This window comes from Homo sapiens, chromosome 5 (genome assembly GCF_000001405.40).
Source record: "Homo sapiens chromosome 5, GRCh38.p14 Primary Assembly".
Lineage (NCBI taxonomy): Eukaryota > Metazoa > Chordata > Mammalia > Primates > Hominidae > Homo > Homo sapiens.
Window position 1 is genome coordinate 37,691,958 of NC_000005.10, and position 23,072 is coordinate 37,715,029.

Consider the following 23,072-nt stretch of genomic DNA (forward strand, 5'->3'; position numbering starts at 1 on the left):
GCAAGACTAACAAAGAAGAAAAGAGAGAAGAATCAAATAGACACAATAAAAAATGATAAAGGGGATATCACCACCGATCCCACAGAAATACAAACTACCATCAAAGAATACTATAAACACCTCTGCACAAATAAAATAGAAAATCTAGAAGAAATGGATAAATTCCTGGACACATACACCACCCCCCACCCCTCGCAAGACTAAATGAGGAATAAGTTGATTTTCTGAACAGACCAATAACAGGCTCTGAAATTGAGGCAATAATTAATAGCCTACCAACCGTAAAAAGTGCAGGACCAGATGGATTCACAGCTGAATTTTACCAGAGATACAAAGAGGAGCTGGTACCATTCCTTCTGGAACTATTACAATCAATGGAAAAAGAGGGAATCCTCCCTAACTCATTTTATGAGGCCAGCATCATCCTAATACCAAAGGCTGGCAGAGACACAACAAAAAAAGAATTTTAGACCAATATTCCTGATGAACGTTGATGCAAAAATCCTCAGTAAAATACTGGCAAACTGAATCCAGCAGCACATCAAAAAGCTTATCCACCATGATCAAGTCAGCTTCATCCTTGGGATGCAAGGATAGTTTAACATACGTAAATCAATAAATGTAATCCCTCACATAAACAGAACCAATGAAAAACACCACGTGATTATCTCAATAGATGCAGAAAAGGTCTTCAACAAAATTCAGCAGCCCTTCATGAGAAAACCTCTCAATAAACTCGGTATTGATGGAACATGTCTCAAATTAATAAGAGCTATTTATGACAAATCCATAGCCAATATCATACTGAATGGGCAAAAACTGGAAGCATTCCCTTTGAAAACCAGCACAAGACAAGGATGCCCTCTCTCACCACCCCTATTCAATATAGTATTGGAAGTTCTGGGCCAGGGCAATCAGGCAAGAGAAAGAAATAAAGGTATTCAGTTAGGAAAAGAGGAAGTCAGATTGTCCCTATTTGCAGATGACATGATTGTATATTTAGAAAACCCCATTGTCTCATCCCAAAATCTCCTTAAGCTGATAAGCAACTTCAGCAAACTCTCGGGATACAAAATCCATGTGAAAAAATCACAAGCATTCCTATACACCAATAACAGACAAACAGCCAAATCATGAGTGAACTCCCATTCACAATTGCTACAAAGAGAATAAAATACCTGGGAATCCAACTTACAAGGGATGTGAATGACCTGTTCAAGGAGAACTACAAACCACTGCTCAACAAAATAAAAGGACACAAACAAATAGAAGAACATTCCATGCTCATGGATAGGAAGAATCAATATCATGAAAATGGCCATACTGCCCAAGGTAATTTATAGATTCAATGCCATCCCCATCAAGTTACCAATGACTTTCTTCACAGAATTGGAAAAAACTACTTTAAAGTTCATATGGAACCAAAAAAGAGCCCGCATTGCCAACACAATCCTAAGCAAAAAGAACAAAGCTGGAGGCATCATGCTACCTGACTTCAAACTATAGTACAAGGTTACAGTAACCAAAACAGCATGGTACTGGTACCAAAACAGATATATAGACCAATGGAACAGAACAGAGGCCTCAGAAATAACACATCTACAACCATCTGATCTTTGACAAACCTGACAAAAACAAGAAATGGGGAAAAGATTCCCTATTTAATAAATGGTGCTGGGAAAACTGGCTAGCCATCTGTAGAAAGCTGAAACTGGATCCCTTCCTTACACCTTATACAAAAATTAATTCAAGATGGATTAAAGACTTAAATGTTAGACCTAAAACCATAAAAACCCTAGAAGAAAACCTAGGCAATATCATTCAGGACATAGGCATGGGCAAGGACTTCATGACTAAAACACCAAAAGCAATGGCAACAGAAGCCAAAATAGACAATGTATCTAATTAAACTAAAGAGCTTCTGCACAGCAAAAGAAACTACCATCAGAGTGAACAGGCAACCTACAAAATGGGAGAAAATTTTTGCTATCTACCTATCTGACGAAGGGCTGATATCCAGAATCTACAAAGAACTCAAACAAATTTACAAGACAAAAATAACCCCATCAAAAGAGCAGTGGATATGAACAGACACTCCTCAAAAGAAGACATTTATGCAGCAATCAGACACATGAAAAAATGCTCATCGTCACTGATTATCAGAGAAATGCAAATCAAAACCACAGTGAGATACCATCTCACACCAGTTAGAATGGCGATCATTAAAAAGTCAGGAAACAACAGATGCTGGAGAGGATGTGGAGAAATAGGAACACTTTTGCACTGTTGGTGAGAGTTTAAATTAGTTTAACCATTGTGGTAGACAGTGTGGCGATTCCTCAAGGGCCTAGAACTAGAAATACCATTTGACCCAGCCATCCCATTACTGGGTATATACCCAAAGGATCAGATATTATGCTCCTATAGAGACACGTGCTCACGTATGTTAATTGCGGCACTATTCACAATAGCAAAGACTTGGAACCAATCCAAATGTCCATCAATGGTAGACTGGATTAAGAAAATGTGGCACATATACACCATGGAATACTATGCAGCCATAAAAAAGGATGAGTTCATGTCTTTCAGGGACATGGATGAAGTTGGAAACCATCATTCTCAGCAAACTATGACAAGGACAGAAAACCAAACACTGCATGTTCTCACTCATAGGTGGGAATCGAACAATGAGAACATGTAGACACAGGGCGGGGAACATCACACACTGGGGCCTGTTGGGGGGTGTGGGACTGGGGGAGGGATAGCATTAGGAGAAATACCTAATGTAAATGATGAGTTGATGGGTGCAGCAAACCACCATGGCACATGTATACCTATGTATCAAACCTGCATATTGTGCACATGTACCCTATAACTTAAAGTATAATAATAATAATAATAATAATAAAGCAAGTTTAGTCATGCTACTCCTCTGCCTAAACTCCTTTAGCAACTCCCTTTTGCCTTCAGGATAAAATCTAAGCTCCTTAACATGGTATATTGGTCTGTTCTCCCATTGCTAGAAAGAAATACTTGAGGCTGCATAATCTATAAAGAAAAGAGGTTTATTTGGCTCATGGTTCTGCAGGCTATACAGGAAGCATGATGCTGGCATCTGGTTGGCTTGTGGGGATGCCTCAGGAAACTTACAGTCTTGGTAGAAGGCAAAGGGGGAGTGAGATATCTCACATGGCAGGAGCAGGAGTAAGAGAAGGGGGAGGGAGGTGCCACACACTTAAATCTCATGAGAACTCACCCACTATCATGAGGACAGTACCAAAGGGACTGGTGCTAAACCATTCATAAGAAGCCACCTCTGTGATCTAGTCACCTCCCACCAAGTCCCACCTCCAACATTGTGAATTAGAATTTGACATGAGATTTGGGTGGGGACACAGATCCAAACCATATCCCATGGCTTATACAGCCTTGATATCTGGGGCCTGTTCATATCATTTCCCCACCATGCCTTTGGTTTCTCACATTTCCTATAGGTAAGAAGTCTGGCACAGCGTGGCTGGATTCTCTTCTCAGGGTTTCACCAGGCTAAAATCAGAGTATTGCCTTGGTATGTGCTCAGGGTCCTCTTTCAAGCTCATTGGTTGTTGGCAGGACTCAGATCCCTGTTTCCTTGACATGTGGCCCCCTTCATCTTTAAGTCGATAGTGACATGTGAAACACTTCTCATATCTCAAATTTCTCTGAGTTCCTCTTCCCTCACATTTCTGTGACTTTCTTGTCGGCACTGTAGCTCATGCAACTGCTTCAGCCCCACCTGCAATCCAAGATAATCTCCCTATTTTAAGGTCAGCTGACTAGTAACCATAATTACACCTGCCAAGTTCCTTTGACCATATAAGGTATTCATGGACATCACACTAGGGGGCAGAGGTCACAAGGATAAAAATTCGGCTTACCACAGTGCAGTACCCTCTGACTGAAATACTCTTTCTTGCCCTCACCTCCTGCTCCTGCAACTGCTAACTTCTACTTTATCTGTTAGGTCTCTGATTTATTTTTGCCCCTCTTTTCTCCCTCATTGTCAAGTTTGGGTTAGGACCTTCTCAGTGCTCACGTATTACTCTGTATTTCCCCATTGTAGCACTTGTCGCTCTGTGTGCTGATCTGTATCCTTTCTGGGGACTGCCAAGTCTTTTAGAAGCTATGTTTATCTGGGCACATTTGTGTTTTCTCTGCTTAACTGAGTGTCTGCCATACATACAGTTGATATCCAATAAAAAAACCGTTGAATCAATGAATTCTTTGTATCCATGAAAGATGGAAGCATGATAACTAATATAAAATTCCAAGACTGTTACCCAGAGGAAGAACTGAGAAGCCAGTTTTCACTCAATATATACAGATTATTATTATTATTTAAATGAACTGGCCTGCTTTTGTAAGGTGGTGTACTCATTACTGGATTTTTTTAGGTGTAAGCCCAGGGATTGGGTGTCAGGGATATTATTTGGAGGGCAAAGTACATGAGCTCTGTTTTGTGACTCATTCTTCATAAGGGTTGCTACAAGAGCAATGGAGATGAGCTCACTTGCATTACCATACCTGTGGCTCCCAGGAGGGACTCACATGCTGTCATTACCAGCAGTGCCCCTGTCTTTCGCTATGGAATTACCCTAGGAAAGTTGGTAATGGCCCAGAACCATTGTGTAATTAGCCAGCATGGCATGTGTGTGTGGGTACACAGGTACACACACACGCGCGTGCACACACACCTATTATAGAGGTTACTCTATTAATGACAGCTATGTAGGGGAGAAAGTTTTTAATGGACCAAATGTCTTTGTTCATATAGACCACACTTTTTGAGGTAATTGACTTCCTAGTACCTTGTGCCAGTTACTGAGTCATAACTGAGTGGCAAGATTGGTGTAGAATTACAAGTCTTTAACTGTGTAGAAGCAACATTAGAAGCAAAAATACTATTAAGATAAATCAGTAAGAGAAGGATTATAATGAAGTATTTAAGAATAGTCTTTTTGGTTTCAAACCCCCAGCTCTACTACTTACTAACTGTGTGGCCTTGGACAAGGTCCTTAAGTTTCTGTACCTCAGTTTCTCAAACTATAAAATGGAGATGATAATAATGGAACCTAACTTACAGAGTGATTGTGAGGACTAAATAGGCAAGATAGGAAAGCATATAGTGCCTAGGATATGATAAGCGTTGTGTAAGGGTTAGCTGCTGTTATTATTATCATTATTCATTCCACAGGCACATTAAGACCTCCAACCATGTGCAGAGTGTATGGCATATCCTAGGAATACAATAAATATTTTGGGGTAAATAAATAATGTGCTCATTTGTAATTTTGATTTATATTTGCTCTTTCAGATAAATACTGGAAATTGTCCCAATAACTTTATAAGCATAATATGAAGAAGTAAATAAGAAGAAGTTATTGTAGTCTTGTCTTGTATAGAGCTTGCTAGGGCAATCTGGAAAAATGTCTCCTGCTAGGACTTACCTTCTCTGTTCTTTATTAAAGCAAATGGATATTTTTAAAAGCCATTTGGTTTTTCTTTTTTTTAGAAAGCAAATTATAATCATGTGAAATTAGTACTTTGCTTATAGGTGTGTATTATTTTCATCGTAATAAAGTGAAATGTTCTTGCCACAAAACTGTTCTCTTCTGAATTGAGGTGAGATATTAACACTTTGTTTGTCTTTGTGAATAGGTTCATCCTAAGTTCCACTATAAACAGGCTCATGACTCGGGCACAGACACTTCTTGCGTGACTTTTTCCTATGATGGTAATGTCCTTGCCTCTCGTGGAGGTAGGTTAAAAGCTTTCTTTTTGATGTATTTCTCTATATAAAATAATCATCTTTAACAAATATGACAATAATATCCTAGTGCTTAGTAAAGCTTGCTTTGATTTTTGTTAATGCACCTTTGCCAGTCTGATTTCTTCATTAAAATACATTTCTAACTTTGCAACATTGTTTGTATTAAAAATTACCAAGTAAAATGTTTAAATATTTACTTTTTTTTGGCCTAAGTTTTTCATTTAGATTCAAATTCCATAAGAGTTTGAAGCCTCCACAAATGATCCTTGCTTCTGCCTTGGGAAGTTTATAGATGATCACCTATATTCTTTCTATACCATTTTATAATTCTGTGTCTGGTACTTCAAAGTCTTCTATTTGTTGCTTGACCATTGCTTTTTTTTCTCTGCCAGTTCAAATACTAACCCAATTTAGTTTTTTTAAAAAAGTCTATATCTAGATGAGATTTTTAAAAACAGTTCTATATGATCATATTGTAAGTTTACTTATCCACATTTGTATGGTTGGATATAGCTTCCTAATTTTTTTGCTAAATCTTTATCACATAGATAGGTTGTGTATTGGTAGAAGGAGATGGAGAATAGTGAAGGCAGCATTATGGGAGAGTATGGGACATAGCTGAAGATTTTCCTACAGACCTATTTGTGGGGAGAGAAAAGAAATAGCATGGTAAGTAGTTTGGAGCCATGTTACAGAGGGTCTTAAATATCACATAAGGAAAAGAAATACTAATAGCATGGTTAAGTAGATGGGAACTATGCTACAGAGGGCCTTTAGGCAGGTGAATCTAACAGTGCTATATTTAGCTATTCATTCAGTCACTCGACTACTGTATATTGAGCATCTACTATGAGCTAACATTATGCTAGGTGCTGGGTGTAAACCTTAAACATCATAGACAGAATCCTTTTCCTGAAAGACTTTACAACCCAGTGTATAGGATAGTGGAAATGAAGAGAGAGGCAAGAGATGTGGCACAGCTTTCCCCTCAATTTAACTAGTCCCTGTCCTTTTACCCTGGGGAACTCATTCAGATTCTCTTTAAGGAAACTTTACTGTTGTATCTAAACTACTCTCATTTGTATAACTTTAAAAAATCAAAGCACATGTACATGTAATTCTCTATTTATGATACACATGGCAAATGTGGATATGTATAAAATATGTATTTTGGTCCATCAATTCTAACCTGCTACTTGAGTTCAGAGATGATTCCCAATTAAAATTCTATATATTCTTTATTTAAAACAATGGTTCTCATCCCAGTAGTGTATCTGAATCCCCTGGGAAAGTTTTCAAATGATAATTGCTCCACTTAGGAATTCTTACATCCACTCTTGCATCTTTGGGATGGTATATCCAAGTCTCTGAGGTGGAGTTAGGGGAGAAGAGGGGAAAAAGGGAGAGTGTAGCTTGAAAATTCTTCACAGGTGATAAAATAGGTGAGCCCAAAATTACTCAACTGAGTAATTACCCAGTTGATATTTGCTCCCTTAGAAGTATAAAACTAAGTCTATTTCAGTCAAAGCCATTTTGGTGATAATTCTTACTTTCCTTTCCATCATACACACACACACACACACACACACACACAGTGTGTGTGTGTGTATATATATGTATGTGTGTATATATATATACACACACACACACACACACACACTAGCTTTTGGATAACTTAATTGGTCAATACCACATGTATGCTGTATTCCATCGTTTTCCTTCCTGGATGTATACAATATGGCAGATGGAAGTCTATTCAGCAAAGAATCCTCAGGGTGTTACAAGGTGCTTCTGCTAGCTGCATAACCCGCTGGATTAGATGGAATTAATACAGGTTAATGTTTTCTTATTGTTTGAAGATTGTGGAGATATGTAACCTTTTTTTAAAGACTAAAAGCAGGCCAGGTGCAGTGGCCCACACCTGTAATCCCAGCACTTTGGGAGGCCGAGGCAGGTGGATCACTTGAGGCCAGGAGTTTGAGACCAGCCTGGAAAACATGATGAAACCCTGTCTCTACGAAAAATACAAAAATTAGCTGGATGTAGTGGCGCATGTCTGTAGTCCCAGCTACTCGGGAGGCTGAGGCAGGAGAATCACTTGAACCTGGAGGCTGAGGTTACAGTGAGCTGAGATCATGCCACTGCACTCCAGCCTGAGTGACAGAGCAAGACTCTGTCTCAAAAAAAAACAAAAAACAAAAACAAAAACAAAAAAAAAAACAGACTAAAAGCAATAAAGTAACATTCCAAAGGTGAGCCTTACAAAGTTCTCCCAGTACAAGCAGGTCCTGAGTCCAGCCAATTGTGGATTAGTGCACCTGCCAAAAGTTGGGTTTCAGAGGAAGCTTCGCTGTAAAAATGGGGATTTTTACTGAACTCTTTACTCTCCTCACTTGCACCTGATTCTCATTCCTTATTGGACCCAAGGGGTTGAGGCAGGTCTCAGCTGTGGGCACTGGGGAGAAAGAACAGCGAAAACATTATGTATATAAGTTTGGCTTTTCTGTTCAGGAATTCGTCCTATAGAAATATTAAAAAGGGATTTTTAAAAATTTATTTTTAAGATACATATGGAATACTTCACAAATTTGCATGTCATGCTTGTGCAGGGGCTATGCTAATCTTCTCTGTATCGTTCCAGTCTTAGCATATGTGCTGCCAAAGCGAACACAAAAAGTGATTCCTTAAAAATACTCATTATTCTTTAAATAGCTTGGCAAAGCTGTACTCCCCAGCAAAGTGAAGAATGATAGCTGTAGGTAGAATTACACTGGAGAGAAGGGAATCACATGGCTCACCCTTATTAATGTTAATGGATAGCTTTACCCATACACCAGTGGGAAAAGGAATCTGTTGTGGATTGAACTGTTTTCAGTCCTGATAGTTGTTAAATTAAACTCTTCTCAAGAAGTAACGTATGCTCAAATACACCACGGGGGAACTACCATCTGCTCTAATATCATACTTCAGAGTAGATTCTCCAGGGTTCCTTCTAGCTTGCAGATGCTACATCTATCTGGAAAGTAATTTCCAGAAGCCCAATTCATTATCAAATAGCTTTCAACTGCTCTTGCGACTACCGCTTTTTAAGCTCTCTGAACGGTTAAAAAAGTAAAACATGCTTGTGTGAATCTAGCTTCTTTCTTCCTTTCTTTCTTCTCTCTTTCTCCCCTTCCCCTTCCCTTTCTTCTTTACAGTTATACATTAAGTTTAGCAGACTCTAAACTGGGAGCGAGTTCTTTTTGCACAATTCACTTTTCTGTCTTTTTTTTCCCCTCATTCCTCTGTCAGGTGACGATTCATTAAAATTATGGGACATCCGACAATTTAATAAACCACTTTTTTCAGCCTCGGGTCTTCCCACCATGTTCCCAATGTAAGTAGCATATTTTAAATATTTGATCAGCATAGAAGAATGGAAAAGAAGTACTTTTACTTTAATGTTAATTTATATCATACGTCTTTTAGATCTTCTGGAAAAGAGACTTGAGAGAGTGATCAAAATCTGTTTTTTGAAAAATATGTATTTTTTTTATTTTTCACATTCCTCAGACTTCAAGAACTTTTTTGAAGTTAAAATTATGTATTTGATTTATTCATGTGTTTGTGTGTATTGTATGCACGCACAAGTCTTGGAGTATTAAAATATATTTTAAGAGATTCAGTTGTTCTTTTAATATTGTATAAATGACAAGGTAGGCCTTTTAAAATTTGTGGTTTTTAAAAATTTGAGCTCTAGTCAGCCAGGCATGGTGGCTCATGCCTGTAATCCCAGCACTTTGGGAGGCCGAGGCGGGCAGATCACGAGGTCAGGAGATTAAGACCATCCTGGCTAACAACGGTGAAACCCCGTCTCTACTAAAAATACAAAAAATTAGCCGTGGTGGCGGGTGCCTGTAGTCCCAGCTACTCGGGAGGCTGAGGCAGGAGAATGGTGTGAACCTGGGAGGCGGAGCTTACAGTGAGCCAAGATTGCGCCACTGCACTCCAGCCTGGGGGACAGAGCCAGACTCCATCTCAAAAAAAAAAAAAAAAAAAAATTGAGCTCTAATACCTTCAAGGCAGTTTTTAATATTACTGAGCATTTATAGTACAGCTTATTTTCTCATTTTTTAAATCATTCAAATCAATAATTCAGCATCCTTCACTTGTTCAGACTGTCTTGCTGTGGGTAGCTGAACGCTGTTATCTCCAATCTACTAAATTGGCACCTGAAACTTTTAAAGGTTTTTTTGAAGCAGCTGAGGCAAAACTTGACCTCTAAGTCCTATAGTTGGTGCTTAGGCAAATTGTTCTATTTTGGTAGAAATGAAATAATGGTCAACAGAGAAGAGCATGAAGATAATGGAAGTGTCAAGGGAAGGAAGCTGTATGAAAGCTGTATGATAATGCAGTACTAACTCTAACATGTCTGCTGCCCATGGCATTTTATGTTAAAACGAACAAACATGAGTTTATAGCTGATGATAATTTTTTGAGCTATTATACCTGCTACAAGTAATGCTAACTATATAACTTCTGATGGTAATTTTTTGAGCTATTATACCTGCTGCAAGTAATGCTAACTATATAACTTCTTTGGGTCATGTCTTAGATTAGTCACAATCAGATGGCCAGACTGCTAACAACAAAAGCCTTGGAATCATAGCCATCAATTAGGTTCCAGCAATGCAACCTGTGGCTCATTTCATGGTGCTCAACTTGATATAACTCAAATTATTTGGGGGTGATGGTAGTGGTGTTAGTGAAAATAGTTTTTAAAATGGCCAAAATAATCATTACTTAGACATTAGTCAAATATATATCTGTCCGTAGACACTCTTAATGTCTATATTGAGTCTTTTTATACTTCCTTTACATTAAAAAAATTACAATGTAGAAGTTAAAAAGCACAGATTCTGGAGTCTGACTGCCTAAGTTTGAATCCCAGCTGTGCTACTTACTTTTGTTGCCGTGTGCAAGGTGTAATTAAATTATTTTCTTCAGTTCCCTCATCAGTAAAATGTGGATAATAACTACCACATAGGATTATTGTGACGATTAAACAAATTAATATAAGTGCTTGACTCATAAGCCCTATATAGGAGTTACAGAGATGTTTATATTTTATTTAATTCACTAATGATTGCTGGACTGTTGTGGAGGTCATAAGCTTATACTCGTAAACTCTTTTTTTCTGTAGGACTGACTGCTGTTTCAGTCCAGATGATAAGCTCATAGTCACTGGTACATCTATTCAAAGAGGATGTGGCAGCGGCAAACTTGTTTTCTTTGAGCGTAGGACTTTCCAAAGGGTGTATGAAATAGACATCACAGATGCGGTACGTATATTCTTTTCTCCTCAGCCTTGAGAATACATAAAGTTTGCCTCTTACCCATCTTTTGGTTTTGTTTGTTAAGTAGAATATAAGCCCTGGCCCTTAGAGCACGGTGATAGCTGCTTTTCACTCTAGCGTAGGAGTTATCAGTATGTTGTGGATGGCTGAGCTACCCTATCCCTTTCCACAACCCAATATTTCCTATGGACCTACACTTTAGTAGGAATTTCAGCTGGGTTTCCCTCTCTGCCAAACAAATTGAGGAGTGAGGAAGATGATCATCATGTAGGATACAGAAAGGAGCATCCCACAATGGGCATGTTTGTGAGGATCTAGGGATTGTCGACAGAAGTGAAAGATTAATAAGTGACGAAGTTTAACATTGTTCCCGAAACCATGAAAACTTTGACAGAACTCTGCTTGTGTGGGTTGTAGTCATTAAAGTCAGGCTCAGCTTGCGCTGAACTTAATTGCTATTTAATTATTTGGAAGTTTAAAGCATTTCAGATTTAACTTCAACACCTTAAAAAAACACATTAGTTTTCTTTACAGATTTATATGAACACTAAAACACCAGCATTCACTGATGCATTCATTCATTTGTTCATGTCCTGAGACTGAGACTGGAGCCACATGTAATACAATAAGAATGAAAATTCCCAGAGGAAAATTTGAATTCCTTTAAGCTGTATATTATTATTTACATGGTAAAGCAAATCATTGTAATTTTCTGAGTATGAAACAGGCCAATTAATGTCTGTGTAAATTTTCTTTGGCTCATTGTCAAATCTTTTAGTAATATCCTATATCTTAAACAGTGCTCTTATGTAGGTTTTTCCAGTTGTTTCAGCTCTTTGTAAACAGTTGAGACATATTATGCACTTACGTGACTCAGACAATTGAACAACTGTTTTTAAATTACCAGCAAAAAACTCCTGTCTCTAATGTTCTAGTATTACTATGAAGTCTTAATTTGCGGGTTCTGAATGTAAAACCACGGTATAGAGTATTATAGGAAAAGTGAAATAAAAATGAGATTAATTCTAGATGAGTACTTATGTTTAATAGATTCTAATCTCATGACGTAATTTGAAATGTGCCAGCACTCACAGTGCTTTTTCTGGGTGCATTAGGAGCCAACTAAAACACTAGAATCAAAGAAAACAATTGAATCTATCAACTTTCATCTCAGAAAGTAAAATTATTGTAATTGGTTGTTCCAGAAATAAGCTGTGTTCTACTATGCCTCTAAATGACTATACATTTCAGTATCACACTTGATGTATTTTTAAATTGTAGCTTAAGTTGAACTGTAAATAAATTAAGGGATGTAGACATATGATTGCACTTTTAAAGACATGCTGGGCTTCTGTAGTTTATAGGAAGAACATACTGTTTGCTGGAAAAATCAGTGTCTCATAATGTGATACATTTTTGTTCTCTGTGTTACTTTTATAGGTAGATCTTTTTCTCCGTGGTACTTACCACTGCCTCATATATTGTATATTTGTTTGGTTTCGTCTGTCTTCTTCTACCAGGATGTAAGTCACACAGGGCGGAAACTTTTTGTTCACTGCAGTATCCTCGATGCTTTCAACAGTGCCTGGCACATAAATAGCTCTTAATATTAATTGAATGAGTGAGAGATATACTTGGGAAGTGCAAGTAAGGCATATTGTAGATCATGTGTAAATCTTCGGTTAGGTGTGTCTTTGGAGAGTGAGGCAGGAGAGAGATATCTAGAGTTAGAAAGGTAAAACTGGTCTTGTATACAATTAGAAGATGACTATCTTGTGTCTTTTTTTTTTTTTTAAAGCAGAGGAAGACACATTCAGATCTAAGTTTTGAAATGGTTAATTCTTGTTGAAATACAAGGTTTAGTTATATAAGATTTGGTGAGTCTGTGTAGATGAAGCCAGAAATTTATAATTTGGGAGACTGGGTGAATGTTCATTGACGTAAAAATACATAGAGATAAAATAAAGCAGATTTTGGAAGAAAGACAGTGAATTCTGTTCTTGATATGTTGAGCTTGAAATACCTATAGGACTTCTGTGTAGAGATACTCAGTATGCAGATGGTTTAATAAGTTTGGTGCATAAGAGAAAGAAGAGACAGTTTTGGTAAAAACATTTATAGTGCATAGTTGAAATGTTGATTGCTGATGAGTTTGATTAAGGTAAGGGAATAAAGGATAGAAAAATGAGCCCTAAGAAATGTCATCATTTAAGAGACGAGCAAATGAAACTAAGAAAGGAGAAATTTCATTAAATAAATAGAACATACAATATTGAATCATCTGAGAAAAGCTGGAAGACAAATTATGAGATCCATTGTAATAGATGGATGAAGAGAGAACTTCAAATAGGAACAAAACCACACACCCCAAAGAGTCCTATTAAATTGTTGATTTAGTGAGGGTGAAGGCTTGTTGTTATTGTTAACATCAAACAGCATCATTTTTCTGTTTATATATTAGAATGCTATGTTAAATAAATGGGGCTTTTAACAGTCCGTTTGACCTATTGTCCCAAGTTTTACGTCTTCTTGGAATGTAAAAAAAAAAAAATACATTTCTTGGAATGAATAAAAGGTGGACACTTTGCTAGAAGAGCCAAAAGACACCTCTTTTATAATTTTGTGTTGGAAATACCACACTCCAAGGTAGTAAGGAACTTAACTGTGTTGAGTTTTAATTTGCATAAAAGGCAGCATCTCAGATTCTTAATATCAGCAGTTAGTAGTGTACTTGTTTGACTAAGGCACAGACAGTGATGGCATTATGTCTATCCTAGATGTGTTCATTTACTGGACACATATAATTGGTTACGCTCTTCCCACGCCCTCTTCTAAAACAGAATAAACCCCTACATGCTTATATTCTAGGACACCAGGCTCAGTATACATATGTGGAGCCAAACATTGTTTTCAGTCAGAAGATGTTAACAATCTATGCAGTTATTCCTTTTAACTAAAAACTATCTTCACAAAAACATAGCTTCTTAAAAATATAGCAAGGGCATTTTCTATAATTATTTTTGAAACAAAGTTTTTTAAAAACCCAAAACTTGTTTTAATTCTGTTCTCTGCATTGTCATATTCTTTGAAAAATTTCCTTTCTCTGTTCATTGTAGATTCTCAAGTCTGTTTGCTAGGAGATGGTGTATGTTTCTTTAACATTTGCTATTTCACCATACGATGTTTGCACGCATTTTACAATTCTGCTAAAATTTTTAGACATTCCCTTGTAGTCTAATTGCATTTCCTCAAATTATACACTGAAATGATTTGTTTATGTCCCCACCCAAATCTCATCTTGAATTGTAGCTCCTCATATGTTGTGGGAAGGACCTGGTGGGATGTATTTGAATCATGGGGGCGGGTCTTTTCCGTGCTGTTCTTGTGATAGTGAATACGTCTCATGAGATCTGATGGTTTTATAAATGGGAGTTCCCCTGCACCTGCTCTCTTGCCTGCCACCATGTAAGACGTGCCTTTGCCCCTCCTTCACCTTCCACCATGATTGTAAGGCCTCCCCAGCCATGTGGAACTGCGAGTCAATTAAACCTCTTTCCTTTATAAATATCTCAGTCTAGGGTATATGTTTATTAGCAGTGTGAGAACAGAGTAATACACACACACACACACACACACGCACACAGACTCACACTCACACTCTCTCTCTCTCTCCCCTCATTTGTTATCTAATTCTTTGTGATTTGAATAGTATGCTTGGCCTCTTTTCTAAGATGAATTCCAGAATATAACTTGAATCTTGAGTTTACAAATTCACTTTTGTTTTTTTTTGTAAGACAGCAGTTTATGCTTTTTATGTATTATGTAAAGGGCTTCCATTACTCTGTTTTATACAATAAAAGCACAGGAAAGAAAGAATGGATAAAATACAACTTGGTGATGACATGTCAATTTTTAAAGTTAATTTTATTTAGATGAAATTATTAAATTTTAAGCTTTTCTTAAGAGCCAGTATTTAGGGAAATGTTCTGAAATAACAATATTATTAGCTTGGTAGTTTTTCAACAAATGATAATTTATTGTGAAATGACTAATAGAATTTTCTTTTTAACTAGTATGAACCAAGGGACATGGTTTATGCAATTGTACCAGTATATTACCATTTATATTTTTTAACTTAAGCATGGTTAATCAGGTTGTTTTAACCTGATATTGTTTCATGGTCTCTGTACCTCATTCACTTTTGGCAATAATTTCAGAGATAGCAGGCATTCCCATGGGTAAAGAGGGAAAAGGAGGAAAGGAAAAAAGCCAGAAATTTTACACCTGAGCCTAACTTCTTTTCTAATTTATTTGTTTGCTTAGGTACTTTGGTGAGAGACCTCTAGTTTTGTAAATACTGGCTGAACAAAATGAGGATAAGAAAGAATTAAAAAACTAAACCTTTATTTTTGAAAACACTGCTATAACATCTAGCATAACCTAGCATATAGCCTCTGAAGCAACAGAAAAGGAAATATGCTTTGATATTTTCAACTAGTATGCCTTGGACATTTTAAAGTTGATTGAAAAGGCCTGGCATGGCGGCTTATGCCTGTAATCCCAGCACTTTGGGAGGCCAAGGCAGGTGGATCACCTGAGGTCAGGAGTTCAAGACCAGCCTGTCCAACATGATGAACCTTGTCTCTACTAAAACTACAAAAATCAGCCAGGTGTGGTGGTAGGAGTCTGTAATCCCAGCTACTCCATAGGCTGAGGCAGGAGAATAGCTTGAACCTGGGAGGCAGAGGTTGCGGTGAGCTGAGATGGCGCCACTGCACTCCAGCCTGGGCGACAGGGTGAGACTCTGTCTCAAAAAAAGAAAAAAAAAAAAAAAAAAAAAAAAAAAATATATATATATATATATATATATATATATATATATATATATATAGTTGATTGAAAATCTTAATATTAACATAAGAAATATGATAGTAAAGGTATTTTAAGGAAGAAAAAACCTCATTTTTGATTTCTAGATAATATTTGATTTTCTTTGGGACGTTTTTTAAATAGTAAAGAACAAGGATTATCTTATATTTTTACTTCCTTCTATCATGGCTTGTTTTTCAGAATATCCCTTTCCTGTGAGAAATGAAATGTATAATATGCATACCTCATTCATGTTCTCTAAAAAAGAAAACTGAAAATATTAAGTATCTGGTGTGTTCTGTCAGTTTGAAGTATTATGATGATCATTGTTTTCAAGAGGCTAACTCTACAGTTTGAGAAAGTATATATTGTGGAAATGAAAGTGCTAACATTTTCAAGTTGATTGAAAAGGCCTGGTGTGGTATAAATGTTATATATAACATATAAAATTATACATAACATTGTATATGTTATATATAATTACATGTTACACATGTAACATAATTATACATAACATAAATTTAAAAAGTATATTCTGGAAATGAATGTGTTAGCACTTTTCATTTCACAAAAAAGTTTTTGTGTTCTTATTAAGAGAGAATATTGATGTTTTAATTCAGAGAGATTGAAGAGGAAGACTAAATGGATAAAAAGGGCCATGAAATAATAGACCCTTTATGAACCTAGCTATTTATCTTAATTTATAATGTGTAAGGGACATACGGCCATTCAGACTATAGTCAGCCTCCATTATTTGTACTTAGGGAGGGAAGCAGAAAGGTAATTCAAATTAATGGATATTCCACAAGTCCTCAGAAATGGCTTTGGAATGTATCTTTGTTCTTACATTTGAATGTAGATATAGCCGATCTGGGAATTCACTTCAAACAAATTAATGATACTATGCCTGTGAAAGTTTGATTCTGAAGGAGTTGAGGAACTCATCTGTTCTTTCATTTCATACTGGGAATAGAGTAATTATCTGTTTTACTGATATAAAGTCCCAACTCAGGCAGAATGGCACCTCCTTCTAAGTTTCTAGAAATAAAGGAGTCAAGCATTGTCTTTGCCCAGAGTCATACAAGGAGTAGCATTACACAGGGAGAACTTGAGCTATCAGCACTGCAAATGCTAACTGAAAATAAACTTGAAAGACTACATTTGGCATTTGTCTGCCTTCTAAAATATAGTGAAACCTCCTTAATGTGAAACACAAGGAGATGGAAAAAATGGGCTTTGAATTAACCAGCTTTCCATTATCTGATTTTTATTATGGAGCAATCAGGCAGCTGGTTGACTAGGGAATAGCATTTGCTTTGAATTATGTATTATTTTGAATAACATGATATCAGCTTAATGAAATTTTACTGTAATTCACTTTTTTTAGGAGGATTAAACAATGCATATCCTAGAGGGAGCCTGAGTAACATATTTGTATTTAATAAAAATATTATATTTGCCCACAGCCAAGTGATAGGACAGTATACCTAACATAGGTGTGTGGAGCACTTGCTCACTGAGAACAGAAAGGTGGAGTTTCAGAGCACTGGTTGTTTCTTGGTCTTCCAAGATGTATGAATATTTGATAGGAAAACTGGGAGCAAGTAGAAAATGATGGAGTTTTAGTGTAAATTTGCCAGTACATGTTTCTTTCTCTGCCCCTATCTTTTTTCCAGGGTCAAGAGCCAACTTCTAGCATGGCTTATTAGGACAATGTTTTACTGTCAAGAAGTGCAGTGGTCACTCAGTACTGCTATCTCTAGGAGTATTTTCTTTAATCACTGAAGAAAAGAGATGCCAGTGGAATATGGTGAAAAACAATGTTGCATTTTTGCTGCCTTCATAATTTGGACTACAAGACCACCTTGAAAAACTTAAATCTTTTTGGGGAATTTCCTAAAGCAAGCAGCATACACATATAATTTAAATGGGAATTTGAATTCAGCTGGGCTCACCTACTAAGCCAGCATCAATAAGACTTGATTAAATTACTTCTTGGTTCTCATTCACCTAGAGGTATCATATTATGAAGGTTCCAGAGCAGTTGTTCTTCAGATTTGAAGAATACAGTTGAATGTTTATTTGTAGGCACATGAGAGTAAAGAGGAAAGATACCTCAGATTTCTTGGTGGTTTAACTGTTAATATCTACGATATCAAATCTTAACATGTTTTTAGTTAGGGAAGATGACAGGAACTAGTTTAGTGCTGATTCCTTTTTATTATTTTAAAAAATTATGATACTGTAAAATTGATCTTTTTAAGAAAGCATACGGTTCTGTGGTTTTTAACACATGTATGGATTCATGTAATCACTATCAACACAATCAGTATACAGAAGAGTACCCCCTAAAAACTCCTTTTTGCTATCCCTCTATAGTCACACACACACCCCCTCTTCCACCCCCAACTCCTAAGCCCTGGCATTCACTGATGTGTTCTCCATAATTATTGTGTTGTGGTTTCAAGAATGTCATATAAATCAGCGGTCCCCAACTTTTTTGGCACCAGGGACTGGTTTCGTGGAAGACAATATTTCCACAGACAGGGCCAGGATTAGGGTGAGGCAAGTGAGATGCTTTCCTCAATCACAAAGTTTACAGGGACACTAAGACACTTAGTAATCAAGATAAGTAACATTTTAATGCAACAATATAAAAAATGCAAAAAATCTATGGTGAATAAAATACCAAATTTTAAAATAAAAATGGGATCAGTAACAGTGCTGTGCCAAGCTGTATTACAGCCTAAGGCAAAAGGAAAACTCAGTTGGACTGATCCCGTCTTTATTTAAAATGTTGATGTTTTGTTTGCCATAGATTTTTTGTTTTTATTTATTTATTATTATTATTATTGGTGGAGGCTAGAGTTGGGGAAATGGTAACTCACTTCTGCTTGACTGATACTTTGAATTATGGACTTCTTCCCAAATCCACCTACTACTGTTTACTTTTCAGAGTCCTCAGATAGGTCTCTGAAAAGTATGTAGGTCTCTGAAAAACCCTATGCCTTCTGTCCTGGTTTTTAAACAACATTCAGAGGGAGAGACTGAATGGAGTATGTTTCTACTGTCTACAATGGTGATGGAAAAAACAAAATGAAACAGTACAGATTATAGCAAATGTGCTTAGGAGGAAGCTTCTAAGTTAGCTGCACATTTGGAGGGACATTCATATGGTAGGAAATAAAATAATGTCATTGCTCCTAGAATGAGTCACCCCTCTTACTTGGGCAGTATGTTCCCTTGACATAACTGTGCCACAAGGCAGAGCTACTGGCTTTTGCTTAATTAGCTGCCATTGGTATTAAGCATACTTGGCCCAGTTTCTCAATATTATTTTCCAGAGCTCATTCCTCTTGCCTACCTGCACACTACGACGTAACTCTCCTGTATAAAAATTAGACTTAACAGATTTTACAACTTCCCTAAAGAGTTCATTTCTGTGTATGAAATCCCTTACCGTCAGATCATTTTTTTCTTTATTTTTAGCCTCACATTCTCATGTTTAGAGCCTACATCCTTTGCTCTGGTCCTCATGGAGTTGGAGAACAGCTGGTTAACATCCTCTGTTTCCTTGAAGATTATAAAGTTACTGTTCAGTCTTGTCTTTGTCTGAGGGAACCAAACTTAGTCTTTTGTTCTTTTTGTTTGTTAACATTTCCTTGTGGATCTTGTTTTCTCCACACCTCTGTTGTCTTTGATACTCTCTTCTCAGCCATTTCTAAACTCTCCAGTGACCAAATTGGAGTAAGGGTCTCCTCAGGGCTGATGGTGTCATGTGGGTGGTAAGGGCATCATCATATTACTAATGTTTATTAATGTAATACATGGCACATAGTAGATGCTTGGTGAAAATGTATTTATTAATTTTGCTTTACCTTTTATTACATTTTATTCTATTATATTCTTGTTGGGACTAACTGTAATGGCCTATTCCTTACCACCTTCTCAAGTTTTTATTTTTTGGTTAATAGTTTTTAAAAATCAATTTGGAATTTCAGTGCATATATTTTTTCTTTTTTTTTTTTTTTTTTTTCTTGAGACGGAGTCTCACTCGGTCACACAGGCTGGAGTGCAGTGGCACGATCTCGGCTTACTGCAACCTCTGCCACCTGGATTCAAGCAATTCTCCTGCCTCAGCCTTCTGAGTAGCTGGGATTACAGGCACCTGCCACCGCACCTGGCTAATTTTTGTAGTTTTAGTAGAGACGGAGTTTCACCATGTTGGCCAGGCTGGTCTTGAACTCCTGACCTTGTGATCCACCCGCCTCGGCCTCCCAAAGTGTTGGGATTACAGGCGAGAGCCACCGCACCCGGCCACATTTTCTTTTAGGATTGATAAAAGAAGTATACATTTATTTTAATTGTCTACTACTTTAAAACTTTAGATGATCCTTTTTTCAGATTCATTGCAAATAGCCAGGTTTTGGGTTCATTAGAGGAAACACAGATTTACTGCAGATGCTTAAAATACTGGTAATTTAAACTCTAGTGAATATAATTTGTTTTGGTTGTTACACTGTTAATGAATATGATATGTTTCCTGGATCTATTTTGTAAAATATACTCTGTGCTTTGAAGCAAAAGTTATTTGTTTGAATTTGACACTTTATTTTATCAGAAGTCTAATCATTACTCTTCATTAGAATAGGGGACAAATACTGATGTGATATAGTACTTATCACTTTGTTTTTCTCATCTTTATTATCTCTTTAAAAAAAAACTTTTTAATTTTATTTTTATTTTTTGAAACATAGTCTTTCTCTGTTGCCTAGGCTGGAGTGCAGTGGTGTGATCTCAGCTCACTGCAACCTCCACCTCCTGGGTTCGAGTGATTCTTGTGCCTCAGCCTCTCTAATAGCTGGGATTACAAGCGTGCACTACCATGCCCAGCTAATTTTTTTTTTCTTAGTAGAAACAGGGTTTCACCACGTTGGCCAGGCTGGTCTCCAACCCCCAATCTCAGGTGATCTACCCAGCTCAGTCTCCCAAGGCGATGAGTGAGCCATCGCGCCTGGCCTCATTCTCTCTTAAAATAATAACTTTATAAATTTTTTGTAACTAGCAGATTCTTGATTCAGATGCAGTTTTTTAGATTCTCTATTCTATGTTCTCTTCTTTGAAATAACGTTTACTGTAGGAATCCAGATTCAAACCCTGCAGTGAAGTGTCTTTTCCTATGACCACCTATTTAACAGTGATCTCATTTGGGAAGTTACAGGGTGAGATGAAGGGCCAATCACGTGCTGCCTTAGACTTCGCGAGCAAAAGAATGAGGATCAAAAGGAGGGCTTATCCAGTTTAATAGTTTATCCATTTCCTAGTATCATTTAACCCCATTACAAGCTATATTAAAAAACATCCACTCCTTAGTAGTGCCAGCATTTGCAAATGAAGATTTTTCTGCTTCTATTTCTAGTCCTTTGAAACAATAGAAATAGTCAGTGTATCCCTTTTGATTAAACAGGAACTTTTTTCCCCTTCTCTACACAAAAGTTTGATATTTTATTTAATAAATATTTAAATTTATTTAATAGGTATTTAAACTTGTGTAGACATGATTGCCATGAATGGCAAAGCTAGATAAGGAATCAGCCACTAGGTAGTACTTAATTTTATTATTATAATGTTATATTTACTTATTATTATTAGGTAATACTTATTCACTAGGGAGAAACATACTTCCTCTATAAAATATAAAAAAAGAGAACTTGATTTGTAGATGTTTAAAAATGTTCAGAATGATACTATTCTTTTCATAATGTGTAAACAAATAATACAGTAATGACTAGAGCTCCATTGTCTAACCCTAGCACCGTATCACATCCCACTGATGGACCAAGTGAAGGACTTTATGTCTTGTAGGATTTTCTGACAGTTTTTCTCCCTCAGCCTGAATCTGATGAATGATCTTTGGTAACAAGTTTTCCAGCTGTTCTATCAGAATTCTGGCCAAACTTTCACAATTATATATAGTGTGGGGAAGAACAAGTTCTATAATTAAAATGCATCCCGGGATAGTATTTTTCCTTTTTGGAAATGATAGATAGTGGTCTTGTAGGAGGATGGGTTGTGAGACCCCCAAAGGACTGAATAAAAGAGTATGATATTTAAAACATCTTTACCTGTACTATAGTAAGATAAATAATATTTTACATATCCTGCGTAGTTCGTCTATACAGGAAGATTCAGCTTTTCCTGTGTTTTCTTGGTTTTACATACTTAATGATTTCCAAGATCTGATTACATATATTTCTTATCTAGCAGTTAGAGATTTAAAAAGTTTCATGCATTACTGTTTTATTTATATAAACATAGGATTGATGGTCATTATCTTTATGCCTATCTCTGTTGATAAATGAAGAAATGTAAAGGAGCCCAGGTCTGTGTAGACCAAACATAGAAAAACCAGGTGGAGTTGGGTTTACACTGTGGGTCTTAAATGAAGAGAAATAGCCATATAGTGCTTCCCATGCCTTCTCACAACCTGGTCTCCATAATAAATGATAATATGTCATATAAACAGATAAGGCTCCTCTTCTCTAGAAATGACTAGCCCCAGTGCCCCAGGCTCCTCTTAGGCATGAGGGGCTCCATATCTTGATACACCTACCATATCTTGGTATCCCATTCTGTGCCCACCAGTGGGAAGCTCTGCTGCATCTAAGTGGATCCCATGAGGTGGGACCTCTGGGGTCATTTGCCTTGCAGGACGACCACCCACCTGGGTCACTCACCCTGTGGACTCCTGTTCCCAGTCTCCTGTTTGTTTCCTACTCACAGACTATCATTAATAAGAATAATTACCAGACTTTCTTCAGTCTTTACTTATGCCTTCTTTGCCTTCACAAATTCTTCTCAAGTAACAGGGTTGGAGCAAACTTTTACTGTTTTGAATTAGATGAACAAAATTGTATTTAATTTTACTTCCCAAGAGACCTTCCATTTTCTCTGAGAACTTTTTCTCATGATGAAATTCTTTAAGCAGGTTTATTATCAGATACAGATGGGATTCATTTAGTGCCAAGGATGACTACCAGGTTCCAGATTTTTGCTGC

General features: G+C 36.9%; 1 protein-coding gene and 1 pseudogene across 5 annotated transcripts in view; one reads left to right on the forward strand and one right to left on the reverse strand.

Moving 5' to 3' along the window:
- The window catches only part of WDR70 (WD repeat domain 70), a 374,118-nt gene that overhangs the window by 312,640 nt on the left and 38,406 nt on the right, over positions 1-23,072 (forward strand). For all 5 annotated transcript variants that reach the window (NM_018034.4, NM_001345998.2, NM_001345999.2 and 2 more), the window contains 3 exons: positions 5,698-5,797; positions 9,101-9,185; positions 10,992-11,130. In NM_018034.4, the coding sequence (NP_060504.1) occupies positions 5,698-5,797; positions 9,101-9,185; positions 10,992-11,130 (324 nt within the window). The remainder of the gene's footprint in view (positions 1-5,697; positions 5,798-9,100; positions 9,186-10,991; positions 11,131-23,072) is intronic.
- RNU6-484P (RNA, U6 small nuclear 484, pseudogene) lies at positions 8,374-8,480 on the reverse strand (annotated as a pseudogene).